Source organism: Homo sapiens, chromosome 14 (assembly GCF_000001405.40).
Source record: "Homo sapiens chromosome 14, GRCh38.p14 Primary Assembly".
Taxonomy (NCBI): Eukaryota; Metazoa; Chordata; class Mammalia; order Primates; family Hominidae; genus Homo; species Homo sapiens.
Genome location: NC_000014.9, coordinates 106,370,362 through 106,397,838, shown reverse-complemented (window position 1 = coordinate 106,397,838; position 27,477 = coordinate 106,370,362). Strand labels below are relative to the sequence as shown.

Here is a 27,477-nt window from a genome sequence, read left to right as displayed (position 1 = left end):
TATATTATTCAAGCTATTACAAATAAATACCTGTATAAATTTCTTAGGGACGGTTTAAGGGAGATGGATAAATCACATAAAAAGTCAGATATTTCTGAATGTACAATGAATAACCCTTAGCTCTATCTTTATTTTTTGGTAATTCTAAAATGCAGCAGATTTTTTTAATGTTTTTATTACAAGAAGGGTTTCTTCAAACCACACCAGGTGTGTGTAACTCTGGGCTAAAGTTGGTTAAGGGAGCAGTGGGATCCGGTGGAGAGGAGCACAGGCCTCGATCCTGGAGCCCATTCTTGTCACATGTGAGCTCCTGGACACATCTCATAGCTCCCTCATGCTTCTGCGTTTACATTCTCATCTGTAAATGGAGGACCAATGGGCATCTGCCTCTAACAATGTATTTTCATGTGTTAAGATGATGTATGTTAAGTGTTTACTATAGCACAATCTTTTAATAAGAAATTACATTTTTTTCCAAATACTATCATTGTCTTCAAGCCCCACCACCCACCAGAAAACTTAATATGCTCTGTGCCCTGCCCTGTCCTCAGACATCCAGCCCAAGAGACTTTTATATAGTAGGAGATATGCAAATAGTTCCCTCCCTCTGCTGATGATGAAAACCAGCCCAGCCGTGACCGTGCAGCTCTGGGAGACGAGCTCAAGTGCCAGGATTCCCAAGTGTTTTCACTTGGTGATCAGAACTTAACACAGAGGAATCACCATGTTGTTTGGGCTGAGCTGGGCTTTCCTTTTTACTATTTTAAGAGGTGATACATGAAGAACTACAGATATTGTTCGTGAGTGGATATTAGAGAAACAGTGGATATGTGTGGCAGTTTCTGACCAGGATGTCTCTGTGTTTGCAGGTGTGCAGTATGAGGTGCAGCTGGTAGAGTCTGGGGGAGACTTGGTACAGCTGTGGTGGGGTTGGGGGTGTCCTGAGACTCTCATGTGCAGCCTGCGGATTCATCTTGAGAAGCAATGACATGAACTGGGCCCACCGGGCTTCAAGAAAGGGGCTGGAATGGGTCTCATACATTAGTGCTAGTGGTGGTAGCCTATACTATGCAGACACTGAAGGGTAGATTCACCATCTCTAGAGACAATGGCAAGAACATGCTGTACTTGCAAATGAACAGTCTGAGAGATGAGGACTCGGCTGTGTGAGAGACATGGTGAGGGGAAATCAGTATGAGCCCAGCCAGAAACCTCCCTGCAGGAACCCTGGGGTGGGGGGAAATCAGCTGCAGGGGGCACTCAGGACCCACTGATCAGAATCAACCCCAGAAGGAGGTGCACATGGAGATTAGGGGCTGGATTCCTTCCAGGATGTGGGACTTCAACTTCTTCTGACAGTTTCCCCAGGGAACCGCTCTAAGTTTAGAATTCTGTGTCATCTCTATGTATTTAAAAAAGATCATTTTAATGTGAGGAACTAACTATTCTCACATGCACAAAATGCAGATTCACACTCACAGAGATGAAAAGTCCTCAACTGTGGTCACTAGGATCAGAGTCCTGAGGAATCTCAGGCGTTCCTGGTGAGTCTTCTCCAATCAGACCCAGGACAGACACCTCAGTGAGATTCCATGACTAGAACAGGCTTTATGGATTTTAAAAAAAATAGACTGAGCCAGGGTCAGTGTCATGTAGAACCTCACAGGTTTCACATCTGACCCTTCTCCTGACACTAAAGTGTGCAAATCAGCATCAATACTGATCTGGTGCTGCTTTTGCTCCCAATCTGTGTTCTTTCTTGAGTTGTCCCTTTTTCATTTGCTTTTCCTGCTCCCTGAAAAAAGAAAGATGTTGTCTCTGTGGTCTAAATTCCAGGGCTCAAGCCCTTTTCTTGGAGCTCAGGTGGGTCTCAGGTTGTGGCTCCTGCAGCCACGCTGGGGAGGCTGATGGGACTTTCTTCTCTCCCATTGCTCAGGGCCCTCCACTATATTGTGTGGAGACTCATCTCAGAATAGATGTGGCCAGTGGGAGCTGAAGGGGACAAGCTTGTTTGGTCAAAATGAGATACAAATATGGAATTCACCCTGTGCTGTACAAACTGTCACAGAGTCACTTTCTGAAACAATAGTGTTAGAAAGAACTTGAGAAAGTTGTCAGAATCAAAATTGGGTCACTTGTGTTAAAACTCTGCTGAATGAAGCTGGGAAAGGCCGTGACGGAATGTTCTCATGCTCATATCCCTGATACCAAGAACTATCGTAAATAGACTCTTAAAACCACAATCTTGCACAAAGGTGCCCACAACCTTAAAAGAATTACTTCTCTGAGTAATCTTCCCAGCAGCTCTCTGTGTAAGATTGGACTGATGCCACCCTTGTTATTGATTCTTCTATCCCGGAGAAGTTGTCTCAAAACAGCTTATGTAACCCTCCTCATTTTTCTTTAAACCTTTATCTTTCTTTACCTGCCTGAGTGAACCCATGCATGTTCCCATTGCAATGTCCATCTTCAAATAATTATCATTTTACTTTAGAGTCTCTTTTTGTCTGTTATTCAGATTTGACAAGCTGCAGATGGACACATCACGTTTCTGTAAGACTTAGGGGATGACAGTTTTGAGGCATGGCTGGGGAAGTACAATGTCCATAAGATTGACCCTCAATAAGTGCAGGCTGTAAGTCTCAGAGCTGAAGCTGCTGAATCACCATAGAATTTCATCTTTAGTTCTGCTCTGATGGAATCAGGCCCACCTGTGTAATGAATGACACTCTACCTAACCTAGAGTCAACTGATGACAGGTTAAATATCTAGACAGCAAATTTGCAACACCACTTAGATTAGTGTTTGAATAACTACAAAGTATAGCCGAGCCAAGTATATCGTAAAGCAGACTATTATACATGGAGAATCTTTAACATGACATCTACAATTCTTAATTTTTTTTACGTATAAAACTGATGGTTTTACAATCAGGCTGTCATGATTTTGCTAATGAGTTGTAGAAGTTACATGTATGTTTTAAATATTAACAGTTTTTTCAGATGCCTGGTTTGCAACTATATTCTCCCATTCTGTAGATTTGGAATTTTTTCCATGCTTTGCAAAATCTTTATATTTTGATGTAGTTCCAGTCCTTCAATTCTGCTTTTGTTGTCTGTGCTTTTAATCTTAAATTTAGGAAATCATTGCTAACCTTTTGGTGGGAGAGAATTTTACAATTGCAGGCTATACATTTAACTGTTTAACCCATCTAGAGTTGATTTTTTGTGTTTATTCTAACCTAATATTCTTAACTATTTGCAAGTGAAAACCCAGTTTGTTTAACACCCTCTTTAGGGGAGAGTATGATTTAGCCGTTGTGTAGAAAATGTTATAAATCACTTTGCCTTCATATTGGTTCTCAACTTGAAAATGAGTTTGCCATCAATACGTGGGTTTATTTCTGAGCTCTCTATATGTATTTATGCCAGTACCATCCTGTTTTGATTATGTTTGTAATTAATTTTGAAGTCTGAGAGTAAAATGCCTCCAAGTTTATTCTTGCCCTTTTGCAGATATTAGACAAAATATTTTAACATTTCACCATGAAGTATGATAACAGCTATGGCTTTTCATAATGAATTTTATTGTGTTTAGGTTATTTTCTTGTATTTCTATTTTGGGTAGAGTTTTTATGGTGAAACCTTGAATTTTTTTAATGTTATTTTCTGTCTGAGAAGTTAATGGGACCTTCTTCGTATTTAATTTGGCATACCAAATGTATTGATTTGAGGATTTTGAATCATCTGTGCATCTCAAAAATAAATTTGAGTTGGTCATGGTGTATGATCCTTCTAAAGTCCTGTGGAACTTAGTTGACTATTATTTGGTGTGTGGAGGGGGCTCATTTATGTCTACTAGGAATATTGGTCTGTAGTTTACTTTTTTGTGACCTTGTCTATTACTGAAAATACGGTAATTTGGGCCTTATAGAAAGACTGGAAGGTTGGCATCTCACCAATTTTTGAAAAAGTTAGAGAATGGTTGGCATTACTTCTTTAAATGTTGAGAGTCCTTTTTTTACTTAACATGTGACCTATCATGGAGAATATTTAGTCTTTGCTTCGGAAGCATACATATTACACTGCTCTTGGTTGGAAGGTTCTGTAGATGTCTATTAGGTCAATTTGTTCAATAGTGTTGTTCAAGTCCACTGTCTTCTTAAGAATTCTCTTAATGATGTTCTATCCATCATTGAAAGTGAGGTGCTAAAGTCTTCTCCTAATTTTTATTATTTTCTATTTATCTCTCCATATCTCTTAAGGTTTGCTTAATGCAGTTATATTTATTTTTGTACAAATATGTAAAAAATAAATGAAATAATAATTGCTAAGTAATTTTAATGGCAAAATCACATAATAAGAAATTATATTTTCCCAAATGCTGTCATTGACACTAAGCTCCTCCAGGAATCTCACATCTGCTCTGGACACGGCTCTCCTGGTGTCCTACCCCAGAGCTTGCTATAGAGGAGGAGACATGCAAATAGGGCCCTCACTGTCCTGATGAAAACCAGCCTTGCCTGCGTCTACGGGAGAAGAGCCCCAGTCCAGAAGTACCAGGGGTTTCCATTTGGTGGTCAGGTCTCTGAACACAGAGGACTCACTATGGAGTTTGGGCTGAGCTGGGTTTTCCTTGTTGCTAATGTAAAAGGTGACTCATGGAGAACTAGAGATATTGAGTGTGAGTGGACACAAGTGAGAGAAACAGTGGATATGTGTGGCAGGTTCTGACCAGGGTGTCTGTGTGTGTTTGCAGGTGTCCAGTGTGAGGTGCAGCTGGTGGAGTCTTTGGGAGGCTTGTTATAGCCTGGGGGTCCCTGAGACTTTCTTTTGCAGCCTCTGGATTCACCTTTAGTACCTTTATTAGGTACTGGATGAGCTGGGTCCATCAGGCTCCTGGGAAAGGGCTGGAGTAGGTCTCATTTATGAGTTGTTGTGTAGGTAGCACAAGCTATGCAGACTCTGTGAAGGGTCGATTCACCCTCTCCAGAGATGATGCCAAGAAATCACTGTATCTGCAAATGAACAGCGTCAGAGCCGAGGATAGGTCTGTGTATTACTGTGGTGGCATTGTGTGCATCCCTTGTTTAGGTACATGCAGAGATGCTGCTTTGGTGTGTTCAGGGGCTCCTGTTTTGGGGACACCAATTTTGGAGTTTGCAGTATCCTTGAGTCCAGTACGTTCATGGTGGCATTGGGTCTGGGGTGTGCAGTGGCAATGAGTCCAGGATACATGCAGCTGATGCCGTATCTTGTGAGGACAAGAACAACTACAAAACGATCCTATTAATAAATAGGCAAATGACTTGAATACACATTTTTCAAAAAATACATACAAATGACATATAGATATATAAAATGTTAAATATGAGTAATAATTTTTAAAATTCAAATGTAATCTACAATAAATTATCACCCCATACCTGTTAGAATAGCTATTTTTAAAGAAGATGAAAGATAACCAGTATTGGGGCAGAAGTGGAGTAAAGGGAGCCTATATATATTGTTACTGAAAATGTCAATTAGTACAGACATTATGGAGAATACTATGGAGGTTCCTCAAAAAATAAAAATAGAACTACCATAGTTTCCAACAAGCCCACTACTGGCTATGTATCCACAGGAAGTGCAATCAGTATGTCAAAGAGACATCTGTGCCCCCACGTTCATTGCAGGAATATTTATGATAGTAATGATGTGGGAACATCCTAAATTACCATAAATGGATGAATTACTAAAGAAAATGTAGTATGTACCCAATGGAGTAATGTTCATCCTAAAATAAGAAGGGAATCCTGCATTTGCAACAGCAGGCATGACTCTAGAGGACCATATGTGAAGTTCCACAGGCAGGCGCAGAAGACAAGTAATTCGCGATTTCACTGTAGTTTGTTTAAATGGTAGACTCACAGAAGTAGAGTGGAGTGTTGGTTACCAGGGGCTGGAGGGGTGGACTGGAAAAGGCGAGATTTTGGTCAAAGGGTGAAATGTTCCAGTTAGACAGAAGGAGAAAGTTACAGTGTTCTAATGCACAAGATGGAAAATATGGCTAATAATGCATTATATATTTCAAAATGGCTAAAAATGCAAATGTTAAAAATTTTCTCACTAAGAAATGATACAGCCTGGGCGCGGTGGCTCACACCTGTAATCCCGGCACTTTGGGAGGCTGAGGCGGGCGAATCACAAGGTTTGGAGTTCAAGACCAGCCTGGCCAGATGGCAAAACCCCGTCTCCACTAAAAACACAAAAAATAGCCAGGTGTGGTGGCACGCGGTTGTAATGCCAGCTACTCGGGAGGCTGATGCAGGAGAATTGCTTGAACCCGGGAGACAGAGGTTGCAGTGAGCTGAGATCATGCCACTGCACTCCAGCCTGGGTGACAGTGAGACTCCAACTCAAAAAAAAAAAAAAGAATGAAATGATAGCTGTGTGAGGTGATGGATATGTCAAATAGCTTGATTAACAATTCCATAATATATACATGTATCATAGCATGTGTGAGGTGACCTGTATGAAGGTGAAGTGACCTGGGGGCTGTGTAAGATTACCTGGGGGTATGTGTGAGGTGAACACGGCACATATGAGGTGACCAGAGACACATGTGAGGGGACATGGGAGATATGTCGGGTAAGCCAGGGGGATTTGTGAGGTGACACAGAGCAAGTGTGAGGTGACGTGGATGCATGTAAGGTGATTTGGGGCACATGTGAGGTGACGTGGGGGATATGTGTGAGCTGACCTCGGGTGAGTGTGAGGTGATCCAGGATGGATGTGAGGTGACCTGGGGGTGTGTGTGAGGTGACTTGGGCACATGTCAGGTGACATCGGGGATTGGTGGTGATGTGGGTGTGTGTGAGGTGACCTAAGGAGGTATGAGGTCACCTGGGGCATCTGTGGGGACCTGGAAATGTGTGAGGTGGGTACAGGTGAAGTCACCTAGGGCACATGTGAGGTGACCTGTGGAATGTGTATGGTGACCTGGGACCGTTTGAGGTGACATGGGGAATGCGTGAGGTGACCTGGGGCATGTGTGAGGTGACAAAGGGCATGTGTGCAGTGACCTGGGTGCATGTGAGGTGACCTGGTGCATGTGTTAGGTTACCTGGGGGATGTGTGAGGTGAACAGGGGCAGGTGTGAAGTGCCTGAGGAATGTGTGAGGTGAACTGGTGCATGTATGTGGTGACCTGGGGGATTTACGAGGTGACCTGCGGGATGTGTGAGGTGACCTTGGGTGAGCGTGAGGTGACCTGACGTATGTATGAGGTGACCAGGGTGTGTCTGAGGTGATGTGGGGTATATGTGCGGTGACCTGGGAAATGTTTGAGGTGACCTGGTGGATGTGTGAGGTGACCTGCAGGATGTGTAAGGTGACACTGGGGATGTGTGAGGTGACTCAGGGCACATGTGAGGTGAAATTGGGGATGCGTGAGGTGATTCAGGGCATATGTGAGGTGACCTTGGGGATGTGTGAGGTCACCTTGGGTGAGTGTGTGGTCATCTGGGATATTTCCCAACTTCGTAAGGAAAGCCTGCAACAACACATGGCATTAGAAGCTTCACACTCTAGCACCATTAATGCGTACATCCTCAAGGAACTCTAAATGTTTTGAGGTTAGCTTAAATGCCATGGAGCGGCACCTTCCCCAGGCACACTCATATATGCATCCTGGGTCTCCCTGCCAAGCTATATCTCCTCAAATTTACAGTTTATGTTTGCTCTGTGACATCAACTCTGATATGTTCAAGTGTGTTTTTTTTTCTTTATTTGTAGTTGTTCAGGCTTGTTGTTTCACTCTCATTACTCTGGGCTCAGTCCTCTCCTCAGGTGTCCCACTTCAGAGCTCGCTGTGAAATAGGAGACATGCAAATAGGGCCCCCCCTTTCCTGATAAAAAGCAGCCCAGTCCTGACCCTGCAGCCCTGGGAGAGAAGCACCAGCCCTGGGATTCTCAGGTGTTTCCACTTTGTCATCAGCAACAAACAAATTACCATGGAATTTGGGCTGAGCTGGGTTTTTCTTGCTGCTATTTTAAAAGGTGATTCATGAAGAACTAAGGATATTGAGTGAGTGGACATGAGTGAGAGAAACAGTGGATTTGTGTGGCAGTTTCTGACCAGGGTGTCTCTGTGTTTGCAGGTGTCCAGTGTGAGGTGCAGCTGGTGGAGTCTGGGGGAGGCTTGGTACAGCCTGGGGGATCCCTGAGACTCTCCTGTGCAGCCTCTGGATTCACCTTCAGTAACAGTGACATGAACTGGGTCCATCAGGCTCCAGGAAAGGGGCTGGAGTGGGTATCGGGTGTTAGTTGGAATGGCAGTAGGACGCACTATGCAGACTCTGTGAAGGGCCGATTCATCATCTCCAGAGACAATTCCAGGAACACCCTGTATCTGCAAACGAATAGCCTGAGGGCCGAGGACACGGCTGTGTATTACTGTGTGAGAAACACTGTGAGAGGTCGGAAGTGTGAGCCCAGACACAAACCTCCTGCAGGAACGTTGGGGGAAATCAGCTGCAGGGGGCGCTCAGGACCCACTCATCAGAGTCAACCCCAGAGCAGGTGCACATGGAGGCTGGGGTTTGTTTCCTGTCAGGATTTGGGACTTCCTCTGCTTCTGACAGTTTCTCTAGGGAAACTCTTTAATTTTAGATTTCTGTGCCCACCAATGTCATCTCTACATTTTTTTAATCATTGTATATGAGGACTCGTTCTCACATGCACAATATGTATATTGCCACCTATGGGAATGAAAGGTCCTCAACCATGGTCACCAGCATCAGAGTCGTGAGGAAGCTCAGGGGTGCCTGGTGAGTCTTCTCCAGTCAGACTCAGGACAGTAACCTCAAGGGGATTCCCTTGTGAGAACTCACACATTTTCATGAGAACAGCACCAGGAGTCAGTTCTAAACCATTCATGAAAGACCCACTCCATGACCCAGTCACCTCCCACCAGGTCACCCCTTCACAACTGGGGATTATAATACAACATGAGATTTGGGGCAGGACACAAATCCAAACCATATCAGATACACATTGTGAAATACGCATGGTGGTCAGGTAATTTGTATTTCTATCACCTCACAGCGCTACCATTTTATTATTTTTTTTAATTTACTGCATGAGTGAGTGTCTGATGAGAACACCTAAGATCTACCCTTTCAGCAACAATCATTTTTACAATACAGTATTAACTATAGGACCATTGCTGTACGTTAGATCTCCAGAACTCATCCAACCTGCACAACTGAAACTCTGTACAATTTAACACACATCACCCAATTTCCCTCACCTCCCAGGTCCTGGGACCCACTATTCTACTCTCTGCTTTCAAGAGCTTGAATATTTTAGATCCCACATGTAAATGAGATCATGCAGCATTTGTCTTTCTGCATCTGGCTTATTCAACTCAGCATCATGTCCTCCAGGCCCATCCGTGTTGTTGCAAATGTCAGAATTTCCCTCTTTTCAAAGCCAAACAAAATACAGATGTATGTATACACATTTTCTTTATACATTCATCCATTTACAGTCATTAAATTATTTTACAAATCTACACTATTATTAATAATCTTGCAATGAACATGTCTTTGGCAAAGTAATTTTATTTCCTTTGCATATATAACAAGAAGTGGGATCACCAGATTATATGATAGCTTTATTTTTAACTTATCAAGTAACCAATCCTACCACAGGATATTTCCCTTTCCCCCACATTCTTGCCAACATTTGTCATCTGTTACATTTCTGATAATAGCCATATTAACTAGTGTGAGTTGATATTGCATTGTGCTTCTCATTTGAATTCCTCTGATAATTAGGAATGTTGAGAACTTTTTCGTTTTCTGTTTGCCATGCATGTATCTTCTGAAAAAAATTATCCAGGTTTTTGCCCTTTTTTATCAGTTCATTTGTTATTTGCTGTTGAGGTGTATGGGTTATTTATACATTTGGACAGAACTTCTTGTCAGATCCATAATTGCACATAGTTTTTCCTGTGCTTTGTTATTAAATTCAAAGAAATCAGTTCCGAATTAATGGCAGGAATTTTTTTTGCTCCATGTCATTTATGAGTTTATGGCTTCAGGTATTATGTCCATTTTTAGTTGATTTTTTTTTTTTTTGGGAGACGGAGTCTTGCTCTGTAGCCCAGGCTGGAGTGCAGTGGCGCGATCTCGGCTCACTGCAAGCTCCGCCTCCCGAGTTCACGCCATTCTCCTGCCTCAGCCTCCGAGTAGCTGGGACTACAGGCGCTGGCCACCGCGCCTAGCTAATTTTTTTTTGTATTTTTAGTAGAGACGGGGTTTCACTGTGGTCTCCATCTCCTGACCTCGTGATCCGCCCGCCTCGGCCTCCCAAAGTGCTGGGATTACAGGCGTGAGCCACCGCGCGCGGCCTATTAGTTGATTTTTTTATATGGAGTTAGAGAAGGCCTAATTTTATTTCTTTTGCATATGAATGCCAGTTTTACACCATTATTGAAAAGACTGTCCTTTCTCTACTGTGTGCTCTTGGCACACAAAATCAGGAGAGACATAATGACAAAAAAAATATGAGATCAATAGTCCTGATGAACATAGACCTGAAAGTCCTCAACAAAATACCATCAAATTGAATCCAGAAGCACTTTAAAATGTGATACATCATGGTCAGGTGGGCTTTACCCCTGGGATGCAAGGCTCGTTCAATATCCACAGTAACTCTGATTCACAATGTAAACAGAATAAAAGCAAAAAGCATATGATTATGTCAATAGATGCTGAGAAAGCTTCCGATAGGATCTAACATCTACTCATGATAAAAACCCTCAACAGACTAGACATCAAAGAAACATACTTCAGAATAAGAGCCATCTACAACAAACCCACAGTTAACATCATACTAAATGAGCCAATTAAAACACTTATCTTTATAAATGACCCAGTCTCGGGTGTTTCTTTACAGTGCGAGAATGGACTAAGACAGCATCCAAATAGGAAAGGAAGTCAATCCGTCCATCTTCACTGATGATATAATTCTATATCTAGAAAATCCTAAAAACTCTGCCAAAATAATTCTAGAATAAACAACTTTAGTAAAGTGTCAGGATACAAAATCAATGGACAAAAATTACCAGCATTTCTATAAGCCAACCACATCCGAGCTGAGAGTATAATCAAGAACACAATCCTATTCGACTTACAGTATCCACAAAGAAAATGAAATGCCCGGGAATACAGATAACAAAGTGAAAGATCCCTACAAGGAGAACTATGAAACACAGCATACATAAATCATAAATGATACAAATAAATGGGAAAACATTTCATGCTCATGGATTGGAAGAATCAATATTGTAAACATTGTCATAATGCCCAAAGGAATTCAGATTCAATGCTATTTACATAAAACTATCATCATCATTCTTCACAGAATCAGAAAAAAATCTATTCTAAAATTTATATGGAACCAAAAAAGACCCTGAATATCCAAAGCAATCCTAAGGAAAAAGAATAATGCCAGAGGCATCATGATACTGACCTTAAACTACACCATAACGTCTTGCTAACAAAAACAGCCTGTACTGGTACGAAAGCAGACCTGCAGGAAAAAAAATAGATCAAAATAGAAGACAGAAATAAAGTTGCACACCTGCAACCCTTTGATCTTTGACAAAGCTGACAAAAACAAGCAATGGAAAAAAAAAACTCTGTGTTCAGTAAATGGTTCTGGGATAACTGGATTCTGGCAGGTATGCAAAATGCAAGAGTGAAGGAGCCTGTGCAGCTTCTACCTAGATTTCAGATGTGTAGAGAGCCCTGCATGCCCAGGAAGAAGCCTGCTGCAGGAGTGGATCCACCACAGAAAGCCTCTACTAGAGCAGTGCCAAAGATGGGGAAAGATGGAGTTGGAGCCCCCATTCAGAGTCCCCACTAGGGCACTTCATAGTAAAGTTGTGGGAATGTGGCCACAACCCTCAAGACCCCAGAATGGTAGAGCTACGGGCAGCTTGCACCCTCAGCCTAGAAAAGCTTCCAGCACTTGACTCTCACTTGTGAAGGCAGCCCCGTGGTCTGTGCCTAGCAAACCTATAGGGATTGGCTGCCTGAGGTTTTGGGGACCCAATCCTTGTTCCAGTGTGCCCTGGTTGAAGTACATAAAGTCAAGAGAGATTATTTTGTAGCGTTAGGATTTAATATCTGCAGTGCTGGGTTTTATATGTGTGTGGGGCCTGTTGGTTGTTCCTTTGGCCAATTTATCCCTTTGGGATTGGAATTATTTACCCAATGCCTGCATCATCATTGCACCTTGGAAGTAAACAACTTTTATTTTTTAAATTTGCAAGCTCACAGCTGGAGGGACATTGCCTTAAGACTCAGATGAGACTTTGAAAATTTGAGTTGGACGTTGATGAAGTTAAGATTTTGGGCACTATTGAAAAAAGGTGATTATATTTTGCAATGTAAGAAGAATATGAGAACTTTGGGTCCGAGAGTGCAATGATATAATTTAGGGGTTTTCCCCTCCAAATATCATGGTGAAATGTGACCCACAATGTTGGAGGTGGGGCCAACTGGGTGGTTTGGGTCATGGGGAAAGATTTTTCAGGACTGGCTTGGCATCCACCCCATGGTAATTAGTGAATTCTTGCTGTATTAGCTACTGTGAGATCTGATTGTTCAAAAGAGTCTTGCAATCCTGCTACCCTCTCATGTAACCCCTCCTCACAATATGACACAGCCTTCTCCCCCTTTGCCTTCCACCATGACTGTAAGCTTCCTGAGGCCCTCACAAGAAGCAGATGCTGGTGCCATGCTTCTCACACAACCTGCAGATCTGTAAGCCAAATAAGCCTCTTGTCTTTGTAAATCACTTGGCCTCAGGTATTAATTTATAGCAGTGTAAAATAGACTAATACACTGCCCAAAGCAATATACAGAGTCCATGCAATTTCTATCAAGTAACTAATTAATTATGTATTTTTAAAAATCCTAAAATTTATATAGAACCGAAAAACACTCTGAATAGCAAAAGCAGTCCTAACCAAAACGAACAAAGCTGGAAGTACCACATTCCCTGACTTCAAATTACACAGCACAAAGATAATAAGAAAGGCAGCATGGTAGTGGTAGAAAAAAAATCAAGAGCCCAGATATATAGCCAAATATCTACAACCAACAGTTCTTTGACAAAACTGACAAAAATATACACTGGAGAAACAACCCTCTATTCAATAAGTAGTGCTGGGAGAATTAGATAGCCTTATGTAGAAGAATAAAATGAGACTTCTGTATCATCATAGACACAAATTAACTGTGAATATGGATTCAATGTTTATAAACTCATAAAAATACTTGAAAAAATCTAAAAATAATCCTCTGGACATTGGCCTAAGCAAATAAAATATGACTAAGACTTCAAAAGCAAATGCAATGAAAACAAAATTAGACAAACAGGATTAATTGAACCAAAGATCATCTACACATCAAAAGAAAGAACCAATATGGTGAACAGACAACCTGTGAATGGTAAAAAAAAAAAAATGTGCAGTCTATTCATCAAATATATAGAATCTACAAGTAACTCAAATAAGTCAACTAGAAATAACAACTTCATAAAAGAGTGAGCAAAAACGAGATATTTCTCAAAAGAAGACATACAAGTGTTCAACAGAAATAAAACATGCTCAGCATCACAAATCATCTGATAAATGTAAATTACAGACAACATGATATAGCATCTTCCACCAGTCAGAATGGCTATTAAAAATAAAACAGATGTTTGCAGAGAAGCATAGGAAAAATAATGCTTTTTATATGCTTGATGAGAATACAAATTGGTACAACCTCTATGAAAAACAATACAGAAATTTCTCAAAGAACTAAAATTAGAATTACCATTTGACCCAGTAACCCCTCCTGGTGGGTATGTTTCTCCCAAAAGGAAACTTCTATATAAGAAAAAGTCACCTGCATTCCTATTTTTATTGCAACACTATTTTCAATAGAAAAGTCAAGTAATCTCTCTAAGTGTCAATCAGTGGATGATTAAATAAAATATGATAGATGTAAATCATGGAATACTATGCAGCCATAAAAAATGAAATTGTGTCTTTCACAGCAACATGAATAGAGTTGAAGGACATTTCCTAAATAAAATAACTCAAATTCTCTTTTATAATTGGAAAGCAAACAATGGGTACACATGTACATAGAGAAAAACAATAGACACTGGGTACTGCAAAAGAAGGCAAGGTGAGAGGAAAGTGAGGGTTAAAAAATCAGCTATTGGCTCCAATGTTCACTATGGGGTAACAGTTACATCAGAAGCACAAACCTCACCTTTATGAAATATATTCATGTTACAACTCTGCACATGTGCACCCTGATTCTATGAAAATAAAAACAGAAAACATGAACAGAATTGTTAGACTGCTAGCTAGATTGACCAACAAACAAGAAAAATGCAAAAGTAGCAATTCTTTGTTTTGTAACCCTTTCTCATTTTCTGGTACCATAAGAAATTGTAGACTATCGTCCTATATTCTTTTCTGAAGTGCTACCATTAGCCATTTCTCAAAGAAATTCTGGTTCCTTTTTTCTTTTATTTTCTTTCATTTTTTTTAGACAGAGTCTGCAACGTCCACCTCCCAAGTTCAAGCGATTCTCCTGTCTCAGCCTCCCAAGTAGCTGGGATTACAGACGTGCAACACCACACCTGGCTAATTTTTGTATTTTTAGTAGAGATGAGGTTTTGCTATATTGGCCAGGCTGGTCTTGAACTCCTGACCTCAAATGATCTGCCCACCTCAGTCTCCTAAAGTGTTGGAATTATGGGTGTGAGCCACTGCACCCAGCCGCTGGTTCCTTTTACAGAAGAATAGTATTAAAAACTCATATCTTGATTCTTGATGTACTTTTTGTTAATTTCTTGTAGAACATCTCAAGTAATCAATACAGGAAGTATTTGTTGTGTATTAACCCATATATATATATACCCACATCTAAACGGTTTTTATTTATGTTCCTATATTATGCTAAACTTGCAAATCCACTGAGATACCCTAAGTTAATACCACATGAATGATTTTCACCTTCCTTCTATGCCTTTCCCTAACCTAGCACTCCAACCGTGGGGAACCCCCTCCCACCACACACCATCCATTCCCTTTGTAGTCCATTTCCAGGATTCCTGTAGAGTGGAACCCGATTGTGTAAGTTGTGCTCTTTTGTGGAACATCATCAAGTGGAGTCCAGTGCTGACGTGCAGTTTCTTTTTTCTTTAATCTTATGGACTACACTATTTCTGAACCTACTTAGTACCTCTTTTGATTTCATACATTAGTATAATGGCATAAGATATTTTCTATATAGTCTGCATTCCATCCTGGAATTCCTAATCACCTATTTTTTTAAAATTTCTTGTGGATTAAGATTGTATTAGTCAGTGTCCCCTAGAGGGACAGAACAAGTAAGATACACATACACACACACACACACACGGAGTTTATTAAGGAGTATTAACTCACACTATCACAAGGTCCACAATAAGCCATTTGCAAGCTGAGGAGCAAACAAGCCAGTCCAAGTCCCAAAGCTGAAGAACTTGGAATCCGATGTTTGAGATGAGGAAGCATCCAGCAGGGGAGAAAGATGTAGGCTGGAAGGCGAAGCCAGTCTAATCTTTTCATGTTCTTCTGTTTACTTTTTATTCTGGCCACACTTGCAGCTGATTAGATTGTGCCACCCAGATTAAGGGTGTATCTGCCTTTTTCAGCCCACTGGCTCAAAGGTTAATCTCCTTCGGCGACACCGACACAGACACACCCGGGATCAATACTCTGCATCCTTCAGTGAGATCAAGTTGGCACTCAGTATTTAGCATTACAAGTCCACCCTTTGTCAACTTGAACCCATACACATCTCCTGAGATTATACATAATCTTCAAATAAAGACAAGAATAAAGTCATAATTATGCCTAATAATACAATTATTCTTCTTACAACTGGAAACACACCAATCCCCAATCCAAATGGTACTACATATGCTCCACTCCCTCAAGGACACAGCCAGGATCATCTGATGACTTGGTGTCTAGATGGCTTCAGCACTTTTAATTTTACCTCCAATGTTAGACTCCACTTTATCAATGCAGATGTAGCAGAATATTTTAAGACATTGATATGCTGAAAAATTCAACAGTTCATAAAAGTTGCCTTCCCACCACAGCCAGTGGTTACTACTGAATAAGGACCTGCCATCCTCTAGGGAGAAGCTATAATGGATGGGGTGCACTGTTGGTGGTTATGGAAATCGATCCATCGTGGCAAATGGCAGCATCTTTCTTTGATAACATTATATTCTATTGTGCATATATACCACATTGTCTTTATTCATTTGTCTATCTACTGACAGATTTTTTCCATATGTTTGCTGTTATTAATAGTGTTTCAATAAACATAGGATGCAGATATCTTCACAAGGTGGTAATTTCATCTCCTTTGGATATACTCCCAGAAACAGGATTCCTGGTCATACAATATTTCTGGCTTTAATTCATTTAGGAGCCTTTATACTGCTTTCCATAATTGTGAAAATGTAGAATGGTATAGCCATTATGAAAAACAGTTTCAGTTTTGAGGTATGATCTGTAAACAAATAATGTTTGTTATGGCTCTCAATGAGAGTTTCTACTAAATATGATGGAAGGTCAGGAAGGTCTCTCACCTTAAAGCAGGGATGGATTATGCCTCTTATTTCCTAAAAGCAAAAGATTGGAAGCATGCATGATGGAGGTGGTTGGCAGGTTTCAGGATGATCTCATAAGAGGAGAATCTGTTGGATAAAACTGTTGGGTTTTCAGTCATAGACACACCTACACTCAATATGAAATGATGAAATCAAGTGAGGATCTAGAATGTGTTCGCTTGAAGCAACAGCATATTCTCAAAGGCACCTATTGCTCCATCACAAGGGTGATGAACTTTTGAAACCAGTAAAGTGTGAGAGCACAGTAAGTGATAAAGTTATCACATTTACATGAAGTTTGTTTAATGTGCCAAGGGCTCGCACAGATTAATCATAAATAAACACAATGTATTTTAGCATACATAGATGTCTAGAGAAGAATCTTCTTAGAGAAACTTCTTCAGGTTACAGAAATCTGTGTAAGTTGTAGATCTAATGGAGAAGTGTCTATGAATACTGGTCTGTTTTTGAAGTATGGAAAGATGATCTCTTTTGGAGTAGGCTTGCGATTGTGTTGATTTCTTAATTGTTTCTTGAGTTGTAACAAAAGAACCAAAAAAATGACTAACCGGAGTTTCATGGCTGTGTTGATAAAAATTTTTCATAAGCTTTCTGTCAATTATTTGAGACCAGATTTCCTGATTTTTTTCTCCAATAGATACATGTTCACAAGATCTCAGGAAACCACCTCTCAGGTGCTTTAGTTTAAAAGACTAGCTTCCTAGAAAAAGAAGATTCTGTCTAACCATGACAAGTTGGTTTCATCTGCAAACCATCAAGTTTGAGACCTCATTGTCAAGAATCATAAAAATTTTAACTCCAATGTACTGAAAATCATAAATCTCGAATTTAATGTTGATAGGCATTGACAAAATGGTTCATTCTTGGATGCGTCCTATGTTGCTGGCTCAACATATCAGTTAATTGAGAATCCTCACTTAGCTCCCTCTGTTTGTAGCACTGAGTTGATTGTCAATCTTCAGAGTCATCCGTTGAAGGAGAGTCCTGAGGTTCATGGGATTCTTGTAGACACTCAGGGGAACAAAAGAAAGAAACAGAATTGAGGGCTGCCAGCCATTTCCACATCACTAGGAATAATTACCATCTAAGTATAAAGGTCTGCATCATTCAGAACACCCTGCATGACAGGCTGATGCAAAAAATCCAACCCTACAGAGGCTCCACAGCAACCTTTACAGTTCTTTCCGGGAAGAAATAATCTCCAAGTTAAGTGAGTCAGTAAAGCTGCTCTGAGCTACAGTAAAAATTGGATTGGGCCCGATTTGTCTGAGTTCAGTGTAATTATTATACTCAGCTGCTGCCCCAATATAGACTGAGGATGGATAATTTAAATGAGCCTGGCTATGTGGTTTGTTATATATCTGAACTAAATAAACATAAAGGGCCTGTCTGGACTAGCGTGAGGGTGAGAGATCCTGGGAGCCCCAGCCCCCCATACTCTTATCTCCCTTCCTCCAGGAACCTCTAGGTTCTCAGGGTGAGAATCCACAAGATCCATTCATGGCTCTATTACCAGGAGACCAAAATCTCTGACCTTGTTCATACAGACAAACAGGCGAAGGACATTTTTAGATCCTTATCTATGTGGCGAAAGGCAATCTATCCCCATTACAAGCCTTACCAGCAACCTTCCTTTGTCATGAAAATGGGTAAAATTAGCCAATAGGATTACATTTAAGAAAATTTTCCTGTGATGTTCCAGCCAGAAAACAGCAAAAATCAGCTTCACACCTGGAGACTTCTTGCATCGGTCACAGCCCAGAGAAAGAAGATCACCATAGCATTAAAATGCAACTGTAAGAACATGTAATGCTTCCATGTTCCACGCATTACGTCTCACCAGTTTAGTCAATATGGATTAAATATGAGAGTGTGGCAATTCGCAAACTCTATCTGAGGAGGAAAATCGGATAAAAAATGTTATGAAAAATAAAGCAATTTGAAGCCTCTGACTTCAGCAACTTCACCACTAATGAAATGATGTAACCCTCATTGGCCTCAAATTTAGTTTTCACGGGGCATCTGCAGGGTTCCAAAGTGAGACCAGGTGAATTCAATGTGCATGCACTTCCCAAGTGTCCACTTGTATTCTGTTTCTTTACTTCTGTTTACAGAAAGTAGACACATATTCAGTCTTAGTACCAGTGTAGGGAGCGCTTTCCATGAGATGGATACCAGAAAAAAATGGCAAACATGGGATCCGTTAATATAAAAATTAGCCACGATGTATATATATATATGTGTGTGTGTGTGTGTGTGTGTGTACACACGCGCGCGCATGTGTGAGTTGAATAGCAGAGTTGGAGTGGGTTTCTATCCACATGTACCTGCACCTGCAGGTATTCTCAGGTGCCATAATCAACTGTAGGACCCTAAAGGAAATAAGAGTCTCCCCTCAACCCCTGAAGAGTGTTTGGGTTCACCGTGTGTCCAATGATTCTGTGCCTCTTGAGCTCCAGGAAAGGGCTCCCTGGTGATGCATGAGATCTTTTCTTGGAGTCTCTCTGCAGAGTTCACTGGGTTTCCTAAAGGCAATTCACTATTTCAAAAGATGGTGTGAGGAGCATGTGGTGTCCCTAAAGGAGAATTCTGAGCCAGGGCACAACCACTTTATACTGAGCTGGATACACTGGTAGGAATATACTCTGTCAGCTCAGATAGAAACCTCCCTGCATGGTTGGGGCTGGGCTGCAGGGGGCGCTCCGGATACACCCAGCACAGGCTCCCGCCCCAGAGCAGGTGCACAGGAGGCTGGGGAGAGGTTCCTCCCAGGGCCTGGGACTTCCTTTAAAAATATCTAAAATAAGTATTTCACAAAGACTGCTGAAGTTTGTATAAATATCTATTCAATTGTGAGCATTTATCAAACTGGATGTTGTAATGAGAACCACTTTTACAATGGGGATTTCAAACTCTGCTGGAGGTCAGGAAGAGATCCTTTCTTATAAATAAATGCAATTTTTGGATAAACACAGTCATTCCCTAAATAACGCATTCACATATTATGGTCTAGAAATGATGCAAGTTGACCCTGAGACAGTCAAATGTGGTTTCAAAGTGAGGTGCTGTCCTTGAGGAGCTTGTTCTCCAGTGGGGGAAGCTCTGTCAACACAGAGTTCAGGGATGTGTAGGGGACACATGGCCTCTAACAGGATTACGGCTTGAACCCTCAGCTTCTACAGTTGTGTCACCCATGTGTCTGTTTCTCATACTGGGTCAGGAATTGGGCTATTAAATAGCATCCTTCATGAATATGCAATTAACTGAGGTGACTATAGTATCTCCGTTCCCTGAGAGCCTCACCCAACAACCACACCCCTCCTCTGGAGAAGCCCCTAGATCACAGCTCCTCACCATGGACTGGACCTGAAGGATCCTCTTCTTGATGGCAGCAGCAACAGGTAAGGGGCTCCCCAGTCTCAGGGCTGAGGAAGAAACCAGGCCAGTCATGTGAGACTTCACCCACTCTTGTGTCCACTCCACAGGTGCCCACTCCCTGCAGCTGGTGCAGTCTGGGCCTGAGGTGAAGAAGCCTGGGGCCTCAGTGAAGGTCTCCTATAAGTCTTCTGGTTACACCTTCACCATCTATGGTATGAATTGGGTATGATAGACCCCTGGACAGGGCTTTGAGTGGATGTGATGGATCATCACCTACACTGGGAACCCAACGTATACCCACGGCTTCACAGGATGGTTTGTCTTCTCCATGGACACGTCTGTCAGCACGGCGTGTCTTCAGATCAGCAGCCTAAAGGCTGAGGACACGGCCGAGTATTACTGTGCGAAGTACACAGTGTGGAAACCCACATCCCGAGAGTTTCAGAAAGCCTGAGGAAGGAGGCAGCTGTGCTGAGCTGAGGCAGTGGTACAGCAGTTTTCTGAACTTCCATAGTATCTCATTTTGCATTGAGTTCCGCTTTAATATTAGCCAAGAATATGGGATAGACGGGTGCTCCTAAGAGATCCTTAACTTGCCCATTTTGATGGGTTTTCCCAAAGACGTGAGAAGCCACTTTTTTCGCAAAGCATCCCAAAGCCATGCCCTGCTCCAGAAACACGTGTATCCATTTCCTGGTCTTTGATTAACTGACAAACTCTCATCAGCGCACCTGGGCTAATTTCACATCAGGTAGAAATATGTGCTTTAAAGCAAGGCTAACGTTGTAATAGCAATTCCTGCTTAATAACCTTCAGCATTGTTGTTGTGTGCTCCATCAACTAATTACGTTAGTTCAAGGTTCTCAATGGGAGTTTCTAATAAATATAAGGGATGTATAGAAGTTCCCCTAATTAAAACAATTGTGAAGACAACCTCAGTGTTCAACCATATTTCAACCCTTCACCACAAAGGAACTTTCATCTCTCCTGGAAGTTGGGTTCATTTTCAAATTAGTTTTTTTATTTTAATATCTCAAGATTATTGTATGTGACTATTTTAGCAGAAAGTGAATTATGGGAACTTGAACTAACCAACTGAAAATACATTCAGAACTAATTAAACAAGATGCCAGAATGTGATTGGCTCCAGGCATTTTAAATTCAACAGGTTATGTAACCAGGCTTTAAATTTGCACATCTTCGTGTTACCTTCATGACACAGTCAACTCCCATTATGTAAGAAATGGTGAGTGCATTCCCAAGGGTCTTGCACAGTTATAAAAATAGACTTGATGAGGTGAGGAGTTGTTTAAATTCCCCTCTGAAGAAGCAGCATCAACCCAACAAACCACTCTCTTCCCTCTGTGACTAGAGCTCTGTCACAGGCCACATGGACCTAAATCCTTGATGGAGATTACAGGACTACGTAAATTGGACTGATCGTTTTTATGCTGTTAAATTAATAGGTGAGTCTGCACTCCAGCCTGGGCAACAGAATAATCTTGTCTGTAAAATACAAAAGAAAGATAAATTAATAGATACTGACTTTGACATTTCGGATAATAATATTTTCATAAACCGAATTTAATTATACCCACATTGTTACCTACACCTTCACTGAAAAGTTCCTAGTTATGTTGAGTTCCATCAACACTCCACATGTTCAAATCTGGACATCCAAGAGAGTCTAGAGAATAAAACGCAATGAGGGCAGTGAAACTTGCGTATATTCAGCACCTCTTAACTCAGGAGGACTCAATACACCCTGGAACACTCTGCTTTTCTGAATGGCTCACAATGACTCCAGCTCACTCTCCAACCTCCTCAAACATCTGGCCTCTGTTTGCCCTAAGTTCACGCTCTGCTCTTAGTCTATGTTCTGAAGTCTTTGTAGAGGTGAAAATGAGCTGTCAGATGGATCTTCCTTCTCACTGCAACATGGAATTTGCTATTTCACTTAATGACCACTCTTTCCACAATGGTTGATTTCTTTTGGCCTGTTCATTACTGGTGATTTTCAAGGGAATCTCAGTTGAATCTTTACTGTTTTGCATTTTGTCTCCATGACAATGTTGGGAAGTTTTTCTTCTAGCAGCATAACATGATCTAGTGACCTGACACATTTGCAGCAAACAATACCTACAAATTCAGAAGCTCTTTGGTTTTCTTTCCACGAAATATAATTCTTGCTCTTCTGTGTATGAGCACATCCTAGCATCCCTGTACACACCCACGTAGATGTCTACACGCCGATGAAATATTCCCTGTAAATAAAAAAAGTATCTCAGTTTCTCTCAATGTTCATAATTCTCCTGAGGGTGAGGAAGGTACTTCTGGGTCTGCTCAAACAAATGGCCCAGAGACCACCTGGTAGGTAGGTAAGGAGCTCACCTCGCTCTGGATATTGAGTCTGTCTCTTTCCCTCTGTCGTCTCATAGAAGGCCAGCCCACTTGTTCAGCTCCTAAGAAGAGAGCCCAGGTTTATCCAGATTATACAACACAACCAGCTTCTGATGACTCTCCTGTTACAACATCCATGGAGATATTTTGTGTATTATATAATTCACCAAACTAATGTGAAATGCCCAAGTTGCAATACTGCACACCCTAGGGTATGTTCTTGCAATTCAGCGGAGGAGAAATTCTTTCAGAGACAGATGGATCTGAATTGGTAAATATGTGGGTACGAATTCTGGGCTTGAGTGTCATTGTCCAGCCATGTTTCACAGGTGTGACCTGTCAGGGAAGAACCAGAGTTCCTTGTTCTCTCAGAGGGTAGAGCTCACAGAGGTCCTCTCTGGTTCCCAGGAAAGGTAATTTCACTAATCTTGGTGATGAGACTATCCTCCAGTGCTGATGTACTATAGAGTTTTCATCTGAAGCTGTCACTGCTATCCCCAATGTACATCTTTTCACACAGAAATGTTTAGAGGTCAGGCCATATTCTCAGGGTTACACATTGAGAAGGATGGAGATATATTCTACTACCTTCTCCTGAGATCTCACACACAATCTCAAATTTCAAAAGGTCTCAGAAGGGCAGCTCTCAGGTACTATTTAAAAATAACCCACTTCCTGGGACAGGTAGCATCCTTCTAACCATGATGGATGTTCTGAACTACAGTACACATTGCATGGATCCAGGTTTGTCTCAATTCACTGTGATTATTACACTCAGCAGCTGTTTCAATATGTCTGAAGGGGTAAATGACAATTTAGGTGACCTGGGTGTATGGTTGGTGTTATATGAATCTTTAAATGTAGAACAGTATTAACTGTATTCCAAAATCTGTCTTTGATCCATGATCACACTTGTCTCCCAGACCAGCTCCTTCAGCACATTTCCTACCTGGAAGAAGAGGACTCTGGGTTTGGTGAGGGGAGGCCACAGGAAGAGAACTGAGTTCTCAGAGGGCACAGCCAGCATACACCTCCCAGGGTGAGCCCAAAAGACTGGGGCCTCCCTCATCCCTTTTTACCTATCCATACAAAGGCACCACCCACATGCAAATCCTCACTTAGGCACCCACAGGAAATGACTACACATTTCCTTAAATTCAGGGTCCAGCTCACATGGGAAGTGCTTTCTGAGAGTCATGGACCTCCTGCACAAGAACATGAAACACCTGTGGTTCTTCCTCCTCCTGGTGGCAGCTCCCAGATGTGAGTGTCTCAGGAATGCGGATATGAAGATATGAGATGCTGCCTCTGATCCCAGGGCTCACTGTGGGTTTCTCTGTTCACAGGGGTCCTGTCCCAGGTGCAGCTACAGCAGTGGGGCGCAGGACTGTTGAAGCCTTCGGAGACCCTGTCCCTCACCTGCGCTGTCTATGGTGGGTCCTTCAGTGGTTACTACTGGAGCTGGATCCGCCAGCCCCCAGGGAAGGGGCTGGAGTGGATTGGGGAAATCAATCATAGTGGAAGCACCAACTACAACCCGTCCCTCAAGAGTCGAGTCACCATATCAGTAGACACGTCCAAGAACCAGTTCTCCCTGAAGCTGAGCTCTGTGACCGCCGCGGACACGGCTGTGTATTACTGTGCGAGAGGCACAGTGAGGGGAGGTGAGTGTGAGCCCAGACAAAAACCTCCCTGCAGGTAGGCAGAGGGGGCGGGCGCAGGTACTGCTCAAGACCAGCAGGTGGCGCGCGGCGCCCACAGATCCCGAGGCCGGGTCCGGAGCAGGTGCAAGGAGGGCGGGGCTTCCTCAACAGCTCAGTGGTCTGTCTCCTCGCCAGCACCTCAGATGTCCCCAGGACTCTCTTTCTTTATTATCTGTGGTTCTGCTTCCTCACATCCTTGTGGCAGGGAAGAAAGGAGGAAGACAATTTTTCTGTTTACTGTTGAGGTTTCACCAATTACTAGAAACTTTCCTACAAGTTCCTGCATGACTCATTTTGCCATATATGGATTCTCACCATCTCTTGATTTGTTTCATCAATCGAATTGTGCCCTATTTGAAATTAACTTACTGAAACCTTAAATCCAATGGATCTATACTGGAATTTTAATGATGTAATTGAGGTTAAATGTGGTCAAAGTGTGAGACCCTAATGCAATAAACCGTTGTCTTTATAAGAAGAGGAAGAGACACCAGAGACCTCTCACTTTTCACGTGCACACAGAGAAGAGGCCATGTGGAGACGTAGTGCACTAGAAGGTGGCCCTGTGCAAGCCAGGAAGAAGCCATACTAAGAACCAATTTTGCCAGCTCCTTGATCTTCGACATTCAGACTGTAGAATTGTAAGAAAATCAATATTTGTTGTTTAAGCCACCCAATCCTGTTGTCTTCTTACGAAGACCCAAACTGACTAATACCACCTAACTCTGTTAGCTCTGTCTCCTGGAGGGAGAAGCAGCCCCCTGAGGCTGGGCACTGCATCTCTCAGATTTCCACGTGAAGTAGGCAAAAATAGTAGTTCTCATATAAAAATGTGTCATGGCTCTGTTGGCCATTTTTGAGCATGGTCTCTGAAACCAGCCCTGGTGTGTGTGTGTAACAAATGTCCCTTATCTTTTATTTGGACATAACAAATAGACGATAGGTACCAGCTGGATGGAGATTGGCCACTGATCATCTTCTGTTCTCCTTAGTATGTCACAGAAAACCACACCAACATCACCAGCATCACTGTTTTTCTTCTACCACCTCAAACGGACTACAGAAATGATCCCTGCAGTATGGTCTATTTCTTCGGCTTTCGAAATTTGCACTGAATCTCTTCCTAAATGGGGAGCTACATGGGGTCTGAGTTTTGTTCCTTTCTTCCCAGTCTTCCCCAAGTACCAAGGACAGAATAGACTTAAAATTTGGCCATCAATGCCCCCAAACACCACATCACTTTCTAAAATCCACATCCTGCATCCATCCTTCTCTGGACACCCCTCATCAGGCTACCCAGGAATGGCCAGAATCTGGTATCAGCTTATGGGCTGAGGCCACGAGTTATACACATGTGTGATTTCAGTCACACACACTCTACTTCAGGACCACACCTGTGTTCTGAGGAGCTCAGGCACCTGCTGATCTCAGTAATTCTCTAATAAATCACACACCTCTTATTAATAAAGGTCCAGATGGCCCCATCAGCTGCAGAGCAGTGGAGTAAAGCTCATGGGTGGGTCCATCAGGCAGAAGTCAGACAATGGAAGGGATGGCTGGTCACTTCCATTTTCACTGATGTTCGCAATGAATTTTAATGGAATAAAACAATATTAACTACAAAGAGACAGAAAAGAAGACTGGCTCGTCAAGATATTTAAGGACAAGGAACTTTATTTGGGGGGAAAGTGAAAGACACTTCTAAATGGAAATCCCTAAAGCACATACAGCAGCTGACAGAGTGGCCACTGTGCACATGAGGGCTGAGGAGATGGATGGTAGAGTCCATTCCTGCAACATGTCTCTGGGTGTGTGATGGTTAGACTCCTCATGCATATGAATATAAGAGCTGGACTCATGGAGAAAAAAAGGGCCATATCCCATAGGAAAGGAAGAAAAAAAAACAGATGGGCACCCCTGGAGAGAGCTCATTAGATTTGGTGTGTTTAAGATGAAAATTTCTTCCAAAAATTGTAATGTTCTAAGCTAAATATGAATCTCTTCAATAAACTGAGAATAGGAGAATGGAGCTAGGACTTGAGAGAGGAAACAAATCTTGAGAGAGCAGAAAGCAAATCCACAAAAACTGTCACATGACAGAGGTCAGAATGGAGCTGATGTAGCTACTTCACTATTCTGCAGACTTATTGACCATGTGGAGAAGGGGCTTGAACAAATGGAGACGTTCTCCAACCTTCTGAATCAGCCTCCTTCTTATGCATGAGTAGAAATCATAGTTCTGGGGGTGACCTTCCCAATTTTCCTGTCCATACCTCTTCCCCCAGGGGTAGAGTGTCTTCCCAACCACAATGGTTTCTCACCAGTGTTCTCAGCTTCTCCTCCATTGTACTTACCCTGCAGATTAAGAATTTCTTCTAGATGGAGTTCTTTGGGAATTTTCTGTTTTCTTTAGTTTCTGTTGACTCCACCACACCCCCATAGGATACAGGTTTTATTGGATTTCCCCTGGAAATAGTGGGGGTGGATCCAGGCGTTCAACAGTCCTCGCTGTTCTTCCCTTCCTGTCAGCACCACAGGACAGCAGATAAGGGAGTTGACTGTGGATTTTTCAAATTCCTGGGAAAAGCCTGCAAGGACTAGTAGATTCACACTCTAATACCATTAGCACATGTATCCAAAAAGAAACCTCACTAAATATTTCCAGGTTAGCCTGTTCCTCTCTCAGTGCCATCCAGTGGCACCTGCCCTGGGTTCACGAACATGTGGGCCCCAGTCCTCTCTGCTGGCATCTCTCTCCTCACATTTCAGTCTTCTCGTTAGCTCTGTGAAAGCAGCTCAGATATGTTAAAAGGTTTTCTTCTTCATTTATTCAGTTTTTCAGGTTTACTGTTAAGGAGGTCAGAATAAGATCATAGTTTCCTCATTTTTCACATTTGCACGCTGAGTAGCCACTTTCTATATAAAAGCCAGAAACTAAGGGAACAAATCAAATATCCATATCCACTACAGGTGAACGTTAAAAAATTTGACATATGATTATGGACTAAAGTACAATGCAGAATTAGAATCAAGGCATCCTCATTCTCATAAAAGCATGTCTACATTCTCAAATAACTCTGCTGAGTGAAAGTAGCTGAAGAATTAAGAGTGCACTTCATAAACTTCTAATTGTATAAACTGCAGAAGGTACAACTATTCTAAAGTAACAGAGCAGATTTGAAATTTGGGAGAAATGGGTGTTGAAAGTAATTGGGTGGTGAGATGAAATTACAGAGAAGTGACAGA

At 42.0% G+C, this 27,477-nt stretch overlaps 3 pseudogenes, 2 gene segments (V, D, J or C) and 1 further gene; all 6 read left to right on the top strand.

The window, feature by feature from the left end:
* Positions 1 to 27,477, top strand: part of IGH (immunoglobulin heavy locus) — a 1,293,408-nt gene that overhangs the window by 482,006 nt on the left and 783,925 nt on the right.
* IGHV3-37 (immunoglobulin heavy variable 3-37 (pseudogene)) lies at positions 725 to 1,174 on the top strand (annotated as a pseudogene). The gene is given in 2 exon segments: positions 725 to 770; positions 870 to 1,174. Coding segments are annotated over 2 exon segments (351 nt in total).
* On the top strand, positions 4,608 to 5,070 carry IGHV3-36 (immunoglobulin heavy variable 3-36 (pseudogene); annotated as a pseudogene). The gene is given in 2 exon segments: positions 4,608 to 4,653; positions 4,759 to 5,070. Coding segments are annotated over 2 exon segments (358 nt in total).
* Positions 7,996 to 8,449, top strand: IGHV3-35 (immunoglobulin heavy variable 3-35 (non-functional)). The segment is given in 2 exon segments: positions 7,996 to 8,041; positions 8,143 to 8,449. Coding segments are annotated over 2 exon segments (353 nt in total), but the record flags the coding sequence as incomplete, so codon positions are not given.
* On the top strand, positions 20,106 to 20,539 carry IGHV7-34-1 (immunoglobulin heavy variable 7-34-1 (pseudogene); annotated as a pseudogene). The gene is given in 2 exon segments: positions 20,106 to 20,151; positions 20,236 to 20,539. Coding segments are annotated over 2 exon segments (350 nt in total).
* IGHV4-34 (immunoglobulin heavy variable 4-34) lies at positions 23,746 to 24,178 on the top strand. The segment is given in 2 exon segments: positions 23,746 to 23,791; positions 23,875 to 24,178. Coding segments are annotated over 2 exon segments (350 nt in total), but the record flags the coding sequence as incomplete, so codon positions are not given.